This window comes from Homo sapiens, chromosome Y (assembly GCF_000001405.40).
Source record: "Homo sapiens chromosome Y, GRCh38.p14 Primary Assembly".
Taxonomy (NCBI): Eukaryota; Metazoa; Chordata; class Mammalia; order Primates; family Hominidae; genus Homo; species Homo sapiens.
Window position 1 is genome coordinate 14,718,206 of NC_000024.10, and position 15,861 is coordinate 14,734,066.

A 15,861-nucleotide genomic window follows, 5' to 3' on the forward strand; every position below is an offset into this window, starting at 1 on the left:
TTAAATGGAAATTAAGTTTTGTTTGATGTATGGAAACAGCAATATCAAGTCTTGGTTTCAAAATATGTTTAACCTCTTTTGAGTTATGTAGAACTGGAAAATGTTTTTCACTCGCAAGTATTGGACATAACAGTATTTCCCCTCTGCCTTAATCCACTTATCCTAGAACCCTATAGGAAGGCAAAGACTGTTTTAATTGAGCGACACAGTTAAAGTTATTGATAGTGGGGTATGCACACATGGGCTACATCTGTCTATGAAAAGGAAACAATGGAGCCAATTTTTTAAGTAATTCAAGCAAAATTAAATGTTCACACCTTTTAAATCTGGAAGCTATAAAAAGCAAAATGGTGCTCTGTACACAAAGAGCATAGCCTAGTTTTTGCTATCCTTAAGCCTCTTCCTGCATTTTGCCTATATTAAATTTCCTATGCAGATATTATTGAGGTGATCAGGTAGGTGACTTCAATTTTTATTTTCTATAACAAATTCAAATTCAATAACTTTCAAGTAATATTTAATAACTATTTTAAACACAGAAGACATAGTCTATAATATTTTGTCCTGACTTAAATACTTATTGCAAGTAGTAGATGTTAATACAAGAAAACAATACTGAATAATGGGTAGTTGTTCTTTAAACATGGAGTAGAGGTAAATCTTAGTGATTTAGGGACATTTCTAATTTTTAGAGATTGTGCAATTTTAAGTTTCTAATGCATGCAATTAATGTCAATTTTCTGATATTTTGATTAAAGTCCTCCCATGTTTGCTGTATGTGCTTTTGCTTGCCTTATGAAAATTTCTAACCATAGTGTATCAGTAACATTTCAAAAATGTATTTAAATTATAATATGTTCAAATCAAAGTACTGTCAAATATGCCATATGCATTTCTTTTAAGAATGTGGGAAATACCTTTAATAATTTTATTTTCTCTTTTTTTAAAACTCACATTAGCATTTTTTTGCAGTAGCATCATTTTAACCCCCAACTGCATATCCACAGTATAGCTAATATTTTTTACAAGTAACATTTTGAATTTGTTCTTCTTGACATCTTTATGTTTATATGCATTTTGCATTTCCCTATCTCATTTTTTTGAAACCAAATGTAACCAATTTCAAGTTTTTGTGTTACATTCATTTTTTTTCTTTTACTAGGTAGCATCTTTCTCTTTTCTGAATTTTTTGCAAACATATTGTTTCTGAATTCTCTTTCATCCCTTTATTTTCCTTTTCAATATCACCCCAGGAACCAACATAAAGAGAAATGCAGACGATATAACCAGTAATGACCATGGTGAAGATAAAGGTATTTTTTGTTTTTTCAAAGCTCAACCCTGATGCATGATTTTATGTCTATCTATCTCTCTCTTTTTTTTATTTCAACCTGTTTTTCCTCCCCTTATTTAACTCTTGTACACTTTTGTGTGCTTCTTTATTTTCTTCTTGTATAGAAACCACTGTTATTTTTAACCCCAGTTACCATGTACTGGAAACAAATCACTGTGTGAAGTATAAACATTGTTTCTGTACATGAAAATAGTAATGAAATACTACTTACAGAGAAGCCCACCTTTTTTTTTTTTCTTTTTTTGGCTTTGTCACAAGAAGAAAAAATAGAATTTTAAAGAATGCATGTATAGTCTCTTTTATCCCTTCCAAATGTTATTTTGTAAGTTAATATACTACTTTGCAGCTTCAGTCTTCCTAATTAGTTTTGCAAACTGCAAAACTTTGCAGCACCTTAGAATAATTTTTTCATAGGACTGAAGTTTCAATTTTGTTTCTTTGGTTTGGCATTCTTTACAAACATATTGATTCCAACATAGTCATCCAATAATCTGCTTACAGTGAAGTACATCAAAAAGCATTTTAACAAGATGCTGTTGTTAACAAGCCCTGATTCTTTCAGTACTGCCTTTTACAACATTTAAAGAAAAAAATAAGAAGTAGCTCAGAACTGAAAAAGGACAAAAAGCTAGCTATGTGCATCTTTGTTTTCACACCACCGTTCTTTGAAAATATGTTTCTCCTTTAAATGTTTTATTGCTGTGAAGTTTCTTTTTAAGGTGACAAAATTGCTCAATAGATTATCTACCAGTAGTGGAAATATTTTTCATAAAGGTGGAAGGTCTGAGCAGTCATGCAGAAAACATAGACACTATTTTTATCCCCTTTGTGTAGAAGAAATTTGTTTTTGTTTTTGTTCTTGTTTTTTTAAAAGAGGAGAAACAACAAGAAAGTACTCAAGCCATTCCTCATTGGTAAGGCTCTATATGATTAGCTAACTGCACATTTTTTCCCATCTGGGTAGCAAAATGTATGGAATTCTATTTATTTTTCATAAACAATAAGGCCCTGGCTGGACCTTTGGGTCTCTGTCTGAAAGGCCAAGCCCAAAAGTGAGTGTTGCATTATCCTTGCTGGTCAAGCCCCATTTTCTTGAAAGTGTCTTTTGACCAGTTCTTGTAGTTGCTCCCCTCCTTGCTTATCTTCATAAATCAACTGTTCTCCAAGAAAAGAAGTCTTGCCAACACTCTTTTCATGCCTGGTCTTCCCTTAACATTTTGATTATTACTGAGCACATAGGGTTGTCACTGCCTCAAGTAGCTCTCTAAGAGGTCTTGATTCTGATGGTGGTAGAAGTTCAGGTACCTCTTCTTTGATAAGGGCTTCTAAATGCCTCACATTTTGTCAGTATTGAGCAAATACATAAAAATGAAATAAACTTTTGTTCTCTCATACCTTATACTGCTCTAATTTGTATCCTCTTTGGTGTCCTCTCACATACTTCCTTTTGATAATTAAGATCTGTTTTCACATTATTCCCAGTGAATGTTTATTACCATGAAAATGCCATCTAATTTTCTCTTAATATTAATAAGCTGTGATTTTTTGAATTTGCTTTAATGTAACAACTGGTATCACTCCACAAGTTCAAGAGAATCTTGTTGTATGTTTTATGAAAGGTAAGAAATGTTAATTTCCCATATTTTCAAAGGGAGCACTTTAAAGCAGCCCTTCAAAATCTCTACTTACTCTTTTTACCACAATTTACTAGCCAACAGCTGGTAGTGGTAAAAGAAATGAAGCCAAAAACAGGAAATTAGGAACCGGGAAGAAGAAGTGGAACATGAGAAAAGCCATTTCTTATTCATATAGCAGAGGACATTTCCCATAGAGTATGATGAATAAGTGATGAATGAAGATTTTTACTTTATATTTGAATTTTATATGAGAAAATAAAAGACACTTTTCTGCCGTGGATTAAATATCTGCAAATAAATACTCGGGTAACTTGACATTCTTTTGTGTGCTTTACTGTGACCATTGGGTATGTCATGTCATCTGTATGCACCCTGTAAAATTGTGATCATAATTCATTCAAATTGGAGCCACCATCCAAACGATGGTAATTCATATCCTCAGAATTCCTTTCTCATATTTCAAGTGTCCCTGTGAATTATGAGGGGAAAAAAATCTTTATTAAAGAAAAAAGTGAAAATAAATATGCATGGATACTTGGATTTTTCTTTTAGTAACAAAGATATTTAAATTATTTGTATACACACACACACACACACACACACACACACACACGTATCTGTACCTAGAAATGTTTATAGGGGAGGTCAGTTTTCTGAAGATTAAATGCAGCCCTAATGTCAGATTAATGTTATAAACACATCGTTTAATCACAAGTTTTCAGAGAGCAGGCTCCACAGATAGTCTCTAACTTTCTATCATTACAAATCGCTATTTTTATATCATTGCTAATTTAAATAATAAAGTAAATTATGAAGAGGAATCATTGGTTGCAAGTCACCATGGGAGTTTAGTCCCTGTGAAAATATAAAGCATTTAAATAATTTGTATTCTTTTACCATTTTTTATTACATCTCTTTAATTTTTGTCACTTGAATATATTAGGATGATGATGATACTATAATCACTGGAACAAAGACATTTGCTTGGACATCTTTTCTTTTTTCCCCCATTTTTGTTCTGTTAATAATTTTTAACTATAGCTTTTCCTTTCTTGTCCTTATCTGTCCCTTATCGATCATAGATAGTTTCACTACTATTTTTAAGTTTTTATTGTTAAATTGAAGATGAATCTGTACAGTTACTTGTGAATTAAGATGCAGCTAAGTTAAAATCAAGTATAATTTTGAAGCTGATTTTACATTTAACTAGATGATTAAATATATTTTTTCAGGTGCTTCTTCAATTTAAATCAAGTTTTATGGTTTCAGCAAAATTTAGAAAATATGTACTTTACCTAAAAACTTTTCTTTTAGTGCTTTGGATATATACAGAAGCTTAAATGAGTAGAGTATCCCAAACATCCAGATGCTTCTCAAAATAGCATTTCCGGCCGGGCGCGGTGGCTCACGCCTGTAATCCCAGCACTTTGGGAGGCCGAGGCGGGCGGATCACGAGGTCAGGAGATCGAGACCATCCCGGCTAAAACGGTGAAACCCCGTCTCTACTAAAAATACAAAAAATTAGCCGGGCGTAGTGGCGGGCGCCTGTAGTCCCAGCTACTTGGGAGGCTGAGGCAGGAGAATAGCGTGAACCCGGGAGGCGGAGCTTGCAGTGAGCCGAGATCCCGCCACTGCACTCCAGCCTGGGCGACAGAGCGAGACTCCGTCTCAAAAAAAAAAAAAAAAAAAAAAAAAAAAAAAAAAAAAAAAAAAAATAGCATTTCCAGAAACAGAAAATGTAATAGCATTAGTCAAGTTACTTAGAAACTCTTATCAAGTGTCATATCATCCATAAAAATTAATTTGCTTACTTCAAGTCAAAATAAGGAAATCAGGGAATCTCCTTTGTTCTTAATTTAGCATCAGTGAGTGAGCCAGTAAGATTCTTTACTGCGTTTCCTTACTTGGCTTTTTTTCCAGATATTCATGAACAGAACAGTAAGAAGCCTGTTATGGTCTATATCCATGGGGGATCTTACATGGAGGGAACCGGTAACATGATTGATGGCAGCATTTTGGCCAGCTATGGGAACGTCATCGTTATCACCATTAACTACCGTCTGGGAATACTAGGTAAGTGATTTCATCATGTGAATGACTAAGCAAGAGGAAACATGAAAGTTCCACTTCTTATTTTGATGGGACTCATGGATTTGAATCCCGTTATTACAGTTCCTGGTTAATTCCACTTTACGGTATTTACTTTATGTTATCAGGTATGTTTTTTCCTTTTATTACCTTCATGCAACATGACCATCTTATTGTTTTATTATCATTCTTTTCCTTTCGCTTCTGATCCAAAAATTTTTTTCTTGTGGAAGTTGAATCCCTTCTCAAACAAATGGCCACTTCAAGTTCATCAGGATTAAATGAAATTTTATTTAAAGCATGTTTCTTCATTGGAATTAAATGAATGTGTATTTATCTACATAAGTGTGTATAATGAGCACATATTTGGTGATATGATAATTAGTAATGGCCATAGATCTTAGCTTTCTAGTCTGATTGTGTTACTATATGAATTAGTATATTGTATGGAGGAAAAGATTTTATCCAGTTCCCTAACTGATTATGTTGAGGCTTTGGAAGATCTGCTGTTTAGGTTCTGTTAGTTGACTTTTTTTTTTCATTTGATAATCTACAATTAAAGGCCAAGTACATGGAAATTCAAGTTTAGCTCCTCCTTGTTTAGATGTTTCATTCATTGTCTTCTAATTGTGGGTTGGAAAATTAAGTTACAACTTCAGGGTAAAGGTTTTAATACCTTCTTAGATGACCTTTCCTGCTTTTGGTTAGTTCGTGAATAATATTCCTAGATCTCTGTAAAAACATTTGTTTTTTTGGGTAAAAATCCATTAAAATGATGTAGAAAATAAAATTTTAACAAATTATTCAATTCACTACATGTAGGTTAGCTTGAATGAAGTTATATTTGTTGCATGCATTTGATCTTGAATTGAAACCTACAGTTTAAGAAAATCTGCATGTCTTTATATTTTTAACAGACTGTCAGAGTTATAAAAGCAAAACATTAGAGCTTTACAGTATAATATTTTTTCTTTAGATCTTTCATGGGCATTTAAAATCACTCATTATGAAGAGACCATAAACCATGGGTTTCTAAGAGGTGTGCTGAATTTTGCAACTGGCTGGTGTGTTTTCTAAATAATCCTGTAATCTTCATGTATTAGTTTTTTTTTTTCATAACAAATCATGACAAATGTTCTCTTTAAACAAGAGGAATTTACTTTCTCATAATTTGGGAAACCAGATGTTCAAAACAAAGGTGTTGGCAGGGCTGTCTTTCCCTAGGTAGCTCCAGAACAAGATTCTTTCTTGCCTTTTCAGCTTCTGGTGGCCCTGGTGTTTGTTTCTATCTTCACAACACTGTCTTCCCTGTATTTTATGTGTCATCTCCTTTTCTTTTCCTTTCTTTTCTTTTCTCTTTTTTTTGGGGGAGGTAGGGGGACAGAATCTCTGTCACCCAGGCTGGAGTGCAGTGACATGATCTTGGCTCACTGCAACCTCTGCCTCCCAGGTTCAAGCAATTCTCTGGCCTCAGCCTTCTAAGTAGCTGGGATTACAGGCACCCACGACCATGCCCAGCTAACTTTTATATTTTTTTAGTAGTCATGGGGTTTCACCATGGTGGCCAGGCTGGTTTCGAATTCCTGACCTCAGGTAATCCACCCCTGTCGGCCACCCAAAGTACTAGGATTACAGGTGTTGGCGACCTTGCCAGGCCTCCTTTCCTTGTAAGGATACCAGTCATTGGATTTAGGGTTTATCCTAAATTCAGGATAATTATATCTGAAGACCCTTAACTAATTACATCTGCAAAGACCCTGTCTTCAAATAGATCACATTCATAGTTTCCAGGTAGAAATATATTTTTGGAGGATATTGCTCAACCCACTCCACCCAATCGATGATTATTGCAATATGTATGTGTGAATATAGGTGCTTTCAGATGCTTCCATTCCATATGTGTGCACAACCACTGTGTTCAGAATTCCACCTTGCTTTCTACTTACTAGGCCACACTCTGGTAAGATGATCTGAGGACAGTCTGGAATTCTTCTTCCCTTTGTATTCAAATAATATAGTCATGCAGTATCTAAAAGTTTATTCCCTGAGCCTTTAAAACTTCTCCATCAGTTTGACAAGGAGTAAAAGTGTTTTTCCCCATTTGTCACAAAACTTGTGCAAAAAGCACCTTTCCCATGGGCCAATACACAGAGCTATATTTCACATTTTCTTCTTAAATTACAGGGTTATAAATATAAAACAAAACCTTTACCTTGCTGTATTATTTCCAACTTTTCCCTCTATTATTAATTCCGATTACAAATGCTCATTAATGTTCTACCTTGGAATTGCAATTTGGGCATGTGCCATCTGAAAATGGAGGTTCCTAAAAATTAATATCAAAGATTAATGCAAGTTTTAAAAAAGGGACTTATTCAAACATAACTCCCATTTTAACGTGACTCGTGGACTTTTAATGAAATGAATGGCCTTGTAATGCCTAATTTTTTTTCTTAAAATCAACTGTGTCATAGCCTTCTCTTTAGAACATATCTGATTTGCCAGAACCCAAGATTTGTGAGATGGTGTTATTTTTTATTTTTACTCTTTCCCCACCCCATAGTACCATGAAGAGATTATGTAACATCCTTTTCTGGTTTTAAAGACAGGTGAATAATGATTATGTAACATGCAAACAAGTTGGGTGTTTTAGAGAAGGTGGTGTTAATGGTGTCTGATTCACAGATGCTGGCTTGAACCTTACTGGTGTTAGGACCTATATTCTGGTAAGATCCAACTTTAGGCCATGGATTACAGGACCTAGGTGTATAAAAACGATACCTAAAACCCATAAGATCTTAGTTCACTGATCAGCAGGAGAGATAGTTTTCTTTCAAATGATACCATCAGATGCATCTCCAGCAGACTGTTAAGTCAGTGAAAAGAAAAATGCCATCATAGAGAAGTTCTTCAGACTTTTAAAAATTTCCTAGGATTATGCCAGTGATTCCTACTACAGAGACAAAGATATATGTATTTCTGAATTTGAGATGTTGGATATTGGTAGAGATTCATCTTTTGAATGCAAATAAATATGCTTTACTTTTAGCCAGCATGAATGCTCTCATTTGCCACAGGTTGGCCAGCTTAAGTATGAAGGGTGTTGTGGGTAACCTTAACAGAAGGTTTTTATAGTACCAAAATTTCTTTCTTTTTTTATTATCCTATTTCAGAAAGTTTCTTAACTCTGAGATACTTTATATTGGGGATAATAGTTCTGGTGCAAGTATAGATTAATAGATTATTAAACACTTCAACATATAGATGGAAGAGTACAAATAGTATATTATTACTGATTCCCATTTACTCTTTCTTTAATTTACACTGGAATTTTTGTTTATGCTAACTTTTGAAGATACCAATGATAGGAAGTTAATAGTGCTTGCCTTTTATAATTTTTCCAGAGCTTATTCATTTGAAGTTCAAATTTGGAAACTTTCCTTTTGTTCTTTGGGAAACAGATATTATTGCTATTCAAAATGGGTAATCTCTAAATTGATATAGAAAAAGATATTTGAGGCTGGATGCAGTGGCTCATATCTGTTATCTTAGCACATTGGAAAGCTAAGGCAGGAGGACAACTTGAAGCCAGGAGTTTGAGACCAGCCTAGACAATATGACAAAACTCCATCTCTGCTAAGAATACAAAAATTAGCTGGGCATGGTGTCACACACCTGTAATCCCAGCTACCTGGGAGGCTGAGATGCACGAATCAGTGGAGCCTGGGAGTTGGAGTGTGCAGTGACCACCTCACTCCACCCTGGGCTACAGAGCAAGACTGTGTTTCCAAAAAAAGAAAAGAAAGAAAGAAAGAAAGAAAAAGAAATTTGAGATATTAGTATTGTCCAAAAAGTATAATTCAAATACTTAATGCAGAAGGTAGTAGCATCATTAACTTACTGACCCATTCATCAATTATAACAGAGGGAAGGTTCTATGTTAGTGTCTTGGAGGCTGATTGAGCTAGGGGATACAATTTTAAGTATGAGTTTCATAGAACAGATTCAGGAGGTCTAAATAGAGGGGTCTACAATTAGGAAGCACCCTTAATCCCACCCCTGAATTACTGACAGCAACACTAACTAGGCAGCAGAGAGATATTTCCTGATCTCAGCAGTCAAGACAATGGTACTAAAGGTTGCTAGATAAATGTGATTTTTGTAGTCACTCACCTGCAAGTTATAGGCAAGATAATATTTACCTGCACTCCCACCAGAAATTAGACCTAATTGACTGCTCTTAATCAGAACAAGACATTCCAACCTCTTATTCATGGTTAGCAATATATCCCACTTGCTTCACTTTGTGATTCATCATTGCATGGGTATAACTGGACATGGAATGCATTTGAAACTGAGCCTCAAGTTCAAATCACCATAGAACCTAAAAAGAAAATGTAGGAGAGACAAAACAGAAGAAAAATGCCAAACAGAGAGTTATTATTTAGATGTGTTCATTCTGTGAACAGAGAGCAGTTTCTATTGGATCTGGCTGAAATAGGGGCCCCTGGTGTCGTGAAAGTGGTGTATGTCTTCATACATGTTCCCATGGGCCTATACAACCAATCTCATTTGACAAATGAAGAAATGAAGGCTTGTGGTCAGGGTCACAAAACTTGACAGTGGCAGAAGTGGATCCAATTTCCAGTCAAATCTATGACTCAATCCATCTTCGCCACAATCATAGTGCAAATCAGTTGCTCTGTTTCCGATCAGTACCCACACACCAGAAGGTCAGCTCTTTAAGGGCATGAATTGTTGTTGTTTGGTTCATTGTTGAGTGTTTGGAGCTTGGACCAGTACATCGAAAGTCTTAATTGTTGACATTCTCAGTAATGCAAAATAAATTGTATTCTTGGATCATTGGCATCATATCCATTAGGATGGCTGTTAATAAAGTAAATGTAAAATAAGAAGTTGTGATGGAGATGTGGAGGAACTGGAACTCTTTCACATTGCTGGTGGGAATGTAAAATGGTACAGTCATTGTGGAAAACTCTTTGTCTGTTCCTCAAAAAAGTAAACATGGAACTACCATATGTGATCCAACAATTCTACCTCCGGGTATATACTCAAAAGAGTTGAAAGCAGGTATTCCAAGAGATATTTGTATGCCCAAATTCTTAGCCATGTTTTCTCAATAGCTAACAGGTGAACTTTTGAAATAGCCACTGCCCAGTGATGGATGAATGGATAAAAATTGATGTATATGTATATATGTATGTGTGTGTGCACAAATACAAACACATACACTACTGAAATGGAATGTTATTCATCTGTAAAAAGGAAGGAAATTCTGATACATGCTACAATATAAATAAACCTTGAATACATCATTCTAAGAGAAATAAGCTATAAGCTAGTCACAAAAGGACAAATGCTGTATTATTTTACCAATATGGGGTTCCACCTAGAGTTGTCAAATTCATAGAGACAAAAAGTTGTATGGTGTTTGTGTGGGGCTGGGAGACAAAATGGAAAATTATTTTCTAATGGATAGAATTTCAATTTTGAAAGGTATAAAATCATTTGGAGATGGATGGTGGGGACAGTTGGACAATAATGTGACTATTCTTAAGGCCACTCAATTATACACCAAAAAATAGCTAAAATGATAAAATTTCATATTATCTATATTGTATCACAACAAAAGAAATCATTATGATATCTGTGATTTAATTGACTCATTGTAATCATTACCATGTTAGGTCATGTTCAGTATCTCATATCCAGCAATATTGCAATGGACATGGTAATTTTTGAGTGGTAGAAACTCACGTAACTTTTAAAAACACATCTGTGTGTATTCACATATTCTTATATTTCTTGGAATTGAAATCATACTCTCTATATCTCATTTATTTCTCGTAGCAAAATGTTTACAAGGTTTTCAAGATTCATCCACATTGTAGCATGTATCAGTCAGTACCGCATACTGGTTTATGGCTGGATACTGTTCCATTTTATGATAGACCACATTCTATTATATATCTGTTTTTCATTTGATGGACATTTGGGTTCAATTCATACAGAAAGAAAGTAGACTAGTGGTTACTGGTTCTGGGATGAGAACCATAGGGAATTAGCATGTCATGGTTACAGAGTTTCCATTTGTGAAGAAGAAAGAGTTCTAGAGATAGATTCATAAAAATGTGAATTACTGAATGGCGTCAAACAGAACAGTACACTTTAAAATGGTTCACATTATGTTATGTGAATTTCATCTTAAATAGAAGAAGAATACAGTCTGAAGTTGTCATGTACTTCACTAGGATGATCTCTTTAAAAGGGTAGGAAAGAAATTAGTGTTCATCCATGTCCTCAAAAGAGCATATAAACAAACTAAACAACCATCAAATAAAACATGTCAATGTACCTCACAGCATCCCAAAAGGGAAGACTAAACTAAACTGTTCTCAGGGCTCCTTCTTCCTTATGTGTTACTTTCAGAGGCACTTTAGCTTAGGACTTAATTTGACTATTCACAACCCCAGGGTGTCCATTTGATCTCACAGCAAACTTGAGTTGACTTTGACCAGGGAAACACTTTACTTTAAGAAACTGTAGAAAGGAGAAAATTTTATACGTATCCAGTTTCTATCCATTTCATTGCACATATGGTGAGAACTTAAGTGTTGTAAGCATGCCACTTGCAGGGCCCTGGGCTCACAGCTACAAGCTATATTTTGTATTTGCATCCACTGTTTTGTTAGCAGATGTATATACTTGCTGACAAAATACATGTTTTAAGAAATAAAATTATTTTAAGAACAAAATAATAATATGTTTTAAGAAAACATGCTTGTATTTACCTTTTATTTTTCATAAAAAAAAATGTTTATGGGCAGGGCACGGTGGCTTATGCCTGTAATCCCAGCACTTTGGAAGCCCTAGGCAGGTGGATCAGGATGTCAAGAGTTTGAGACCAGCCTGGCCAATATGGTAAAACCCCATGTCTACTAAAATTACAAAAATTAGCCAAGCATGGTGGCGCACACCTGTAGTCCCAGATACTTGGGAGGCTGAGGCAGGAGAATCACTTGAAGCCAGAAGGCAAAGGTTGCAGTGAGCCAAGATCACGCTACTACACTCTGACCTAGGTGTCAGAATAAGACTCCATCTAAAAAAAAAGTTTATGAATTTATGGATGTTAGAAACTCAGTTTTGTTACATGGGTTTATTCATAGTGGTGATCTCTGGGCTTATATTGCACCCGTCACCTGAATAGTGGAACCTGTATCCAGTAGGTATTATTTCATCATTCATTCTCCTTCCATGTCCTCATATTTTGTAGCCTCCAGTGTCTATTCCACTCTGTATTCCACTATTCCACTCTGTATGTTAATGTGTACCTGTTGTTTAGCTCCCACTTATAAGTGAGAATATGCAGTATTGAACTTTCTGAGTTATTTCACTCATGATACTGAGTTCCACCCAGTTTCACCCATGTCCCTGCAAAACACATAATTTCATTCTTTTTTATGACTGACTACTGAGTTGTATTCCATGGATATATAAACTACGGTATATATAATTTATGTATCCAGTTATCTAGTCATTTGTTATGGACACTTAAGTTGATTTCATGACTTTACTATTGTGAATAGTGCAGTGATAAACATATCAGTACAGGTCTCTTTTTAATAGAACAATTTCTTTTCCTTTGGGCAGAAACCCACTACTGGGATTGCTGAACCAAATTATGTGTGTGTGTGTGTGTGTGTGTGTGTGTGTGTGTGTGTGTGTGTATAGTTCTTGTTTGTTTTTTTGAGACAGAGTCTGACTCTGTCACCAGGCTGGAGTGCAGTGGCATGATATTGACTCAGTATAAATTTCATCTCCCAGGTTCAAGTGATTCTTCTGCCTCAGCCTCCTGAGTAGCTGGGATTACAGACCTGCACCACCACCCCCAGATAATTTTTGTATTTTTAGTAGGAACAGGGTTTCACCATGTTGGCCAGGATTGTCTCGATCTCTTGACCTTGTGATCTGCTTGCCTTGGCCTCCCAAAGTGCTGGGATTACAGGCGTGAGCCACTACGCCTGGCCCCAAATGGTAGTTCTATCTTAAGTTATTTGGAAAATCTCCATACTGCATTCCATAGAGGTTGTATTAATTTACCTTCTCACCAACAGTGTATAACTGTACCCTTTTCTCACCATTCTTGCCAACGTATGTTGCTTTTTGACGTTTTTCAAAATGTCATTCATTTCCACATTTTATTATAATTCCTTAAAATTATGACTTTTAACAAAGAGAAGGGAAACATACAGTTGGTAATTTTTTTAAGTGCTGTATAATTTCTAGTTAGAAAGCCACAGATAAGCCCCGTGCTGAAGCGAGGTGGTAAAATAGCACAAGTTTGAAATAAAGTAAATTTGGGAAGATAAAGTTGTTTTTAGGATGATAAAGATGTTAGATGTTTAAACTTGGTCCAATTTTTCTAACTTTTACTGTATTCTTCACACTTACCCAAACCACAAACAACAAAAGTGAGATAAGGCAGTGATTGGGGATCCTGTTCCAATGCAGATACCAGAGATTCTCTTACTGGAATGATGAATGGTTAACAGCTATGCTGCATGTGGAAGTAAAATGCTTTCCCCCCCAAAAAAAATGGACCAATAAACACATAGCTTGGGCCTTTAAGGTCATATCAACCAATGGTTGACCCAAAGTCTGTCCAGGTGTGTTGACAGACTTCAGTCTTTCTTCCTGTGATATGAGTTCAGGTAGTAGAAACTCAGGGAAGGGCCCTTTGCTTTCTTTTTTGATGGGTCCAGACTTTAGCAGATAAGCAACATTAGAGAAAAACTTCCTCCTGTGCTTTGGGGTCACAGAGGGTTGAAAGACAAGAGGGAGTGAGAGAAGATGAGAGACATTGAGGCTTCTTCTTCAGTTCAACACATCAAAGCACCATATGTTGGAGCATGGATTTCTGAGTCCCAACAACTGGGTAGTGAAGACCACCCAGGGCTGTGTGTTGAGGATTCTGATGCAGACAGTCAAGGCTCACTTCTCTGAGAGGAAGCTAAATGCGACTCAGGAACACATCCCCATCTCAAATGTGTTTGTTATATTGATGACAGTTGGCACTCAGATAGCATGCATCCCTTGTGGTTTCAACGGTTGGTTGACATGACCTTAAAGGCCAAAGCTATGTATTCATTGGTCCATTTTTTTGAGGAATGCATTTTATTTCCACAATGCAGCAAAGCTGCTAACCATTCATCATGCCAGTAAGAGAATCCCCGGGATCTGCACTGGAACAGGATCCCCAATCACTGCTTTATCTCACTTTTGTTGTTTGTTTTGTTTTAATTTGTTTTATGTTTTACAAATAATCTGAAGTTAAAATATAATTGATAAAAGCAGTTATCTTGTGATGTCAGGATAAGTAAACTAGTGCACTTCAAGCAACATCTAACCAAGTGTCATTTTCTTGCTGGATTGCAATATTGATAGGCACATGGGATAATATATCACGTAGATCCTGATTGTAGATCAATGCATCTTGATCCTGCATCTTGACCCTCTTCTCAGTGGGCTACATTTATGCCTAAAGAAAAATATTCTCTCAATCCTCAAGAACATGAAACATTACAATCTGCAGAGCAAATTGCCAGCAGGAGAAAATGTTACCAAATATTCAAAAGCATGCTTTTTGTGTAAATGATCTTGAAACTCCAGGTAATGGGGGAAACAGGGTGAGGAGTGCATAAGCCAAGAACCTTATTTGACCCAGCAGCTTCCGGTTTCTAAAACCCTACTCATGCAGTGCCAGGAGGAAAATAACCAATTGGCATCACTTAATGTTTAGTGATAGAAAAAGAAAAGCATGCCTTTGTTCATTTTCTACTCTTCTCATTTCCTGCCTCACCATTCATCAAATGAAACAGTACATTTTCATTTTCTCTATATGACTTGTAGCATTTTTGGGAATAGATGATGCGCTTAACATATTGCTGTTCATTTATGTGAAAAGATATTTCTGCTATTGTCCAAAGAGAGTGTCCATTTGCAAAATATCTAGTGTATGAAGACAAGTTTTATTTTCATTTTTCCCTTGTCTTTATATTTTAAATGTAGTTATAAAATGAGAGAACATGGGTTCACAAAGAAACATGAAATTCATAATTAATAAATGTGATTTTCTATTTGTTTTAGGTATGCAAGAGGCACGTTTGTGTGGGAGCTCAAAAATGTTTAATTATTTTAAATCTCCTTTCACTAATTTAATAAATTTTTTTTGAGTTCAGATGCAATCTATTACACATGTTTCTTGATTTTAGGGCGATTCTACCCCAACATGCAAAATAAACAAGAGATCCTTCTAGTTCTTTACAAGTTTCTTAGTGAAACACGGCACTTCCCTGATGCTTTCATGGGTGGGAACTGGAGTGCACAGGTGCTGGAACTTGCTGGCCACTTCGGGGCAGGCAGTGGCAATCTCCATTGACTCACTGCTCCACCCCTCACAGGAGGAGAAGCACATGTGAGAGGGTGCAGGAGCCAAGATGAGCAATTTTGGATGCCAGCAATTTTAGGTGTAAGGAAGAAGGAACTCCATATCACCCCCACAGCAGCATCTCATAGAGGGTGTTTGCTACCCTGGAAGCCCCAGAGGAAGTACTACAGTGTCCCTTTATCTTTGCCATCTGCAGACAGCATGTTAACAGCTCAGTGGTGGGTGGGTGTGACAGCCTTTTACACCCACACTCATGGCACCTAAGTTCTTGTCCAGCCTCCAGGAACAATGAAGTCACACAAACAAATTGAAAT

General features: G+C 35.9%; 1 protein-coding gene across 26 annotated transcripts in view; it reads left to right on the forward strand.

The window, feature by feature from the left end:
- The window catches only part of NLGN4Y (neuroligin 4 Y-linked), a 323,039-nt gene that overhangs the window by 195,590 nt on the left and 111,588 nt on the right, over positions 1-15,861 (forward strand). For 13 of the 26 annotated variants that reach the window (NM_001394830.1, NM_001365586.1, NM_001206850.2 and 10 more), the window contains 2 exons: positions 1,254-1,313; positions 4,912-5,064. In NM_001394830.1, the coding sequence (NP_001381759.1) occupies positions 1,254-1,313; positions 4,912-5,064 (213 nt within the window). Of the gene's footprint in view, positions 1-1,253; positions 1,314-4,911; positions 5,065-15,246; positions 15,345-15,861 lie in introns of those variants that run through there. The other 13 variants (NM_001365591.1, NM_014893.5, XM_047442720.1 and 10 more) reach the window with 2 other exon arrangements.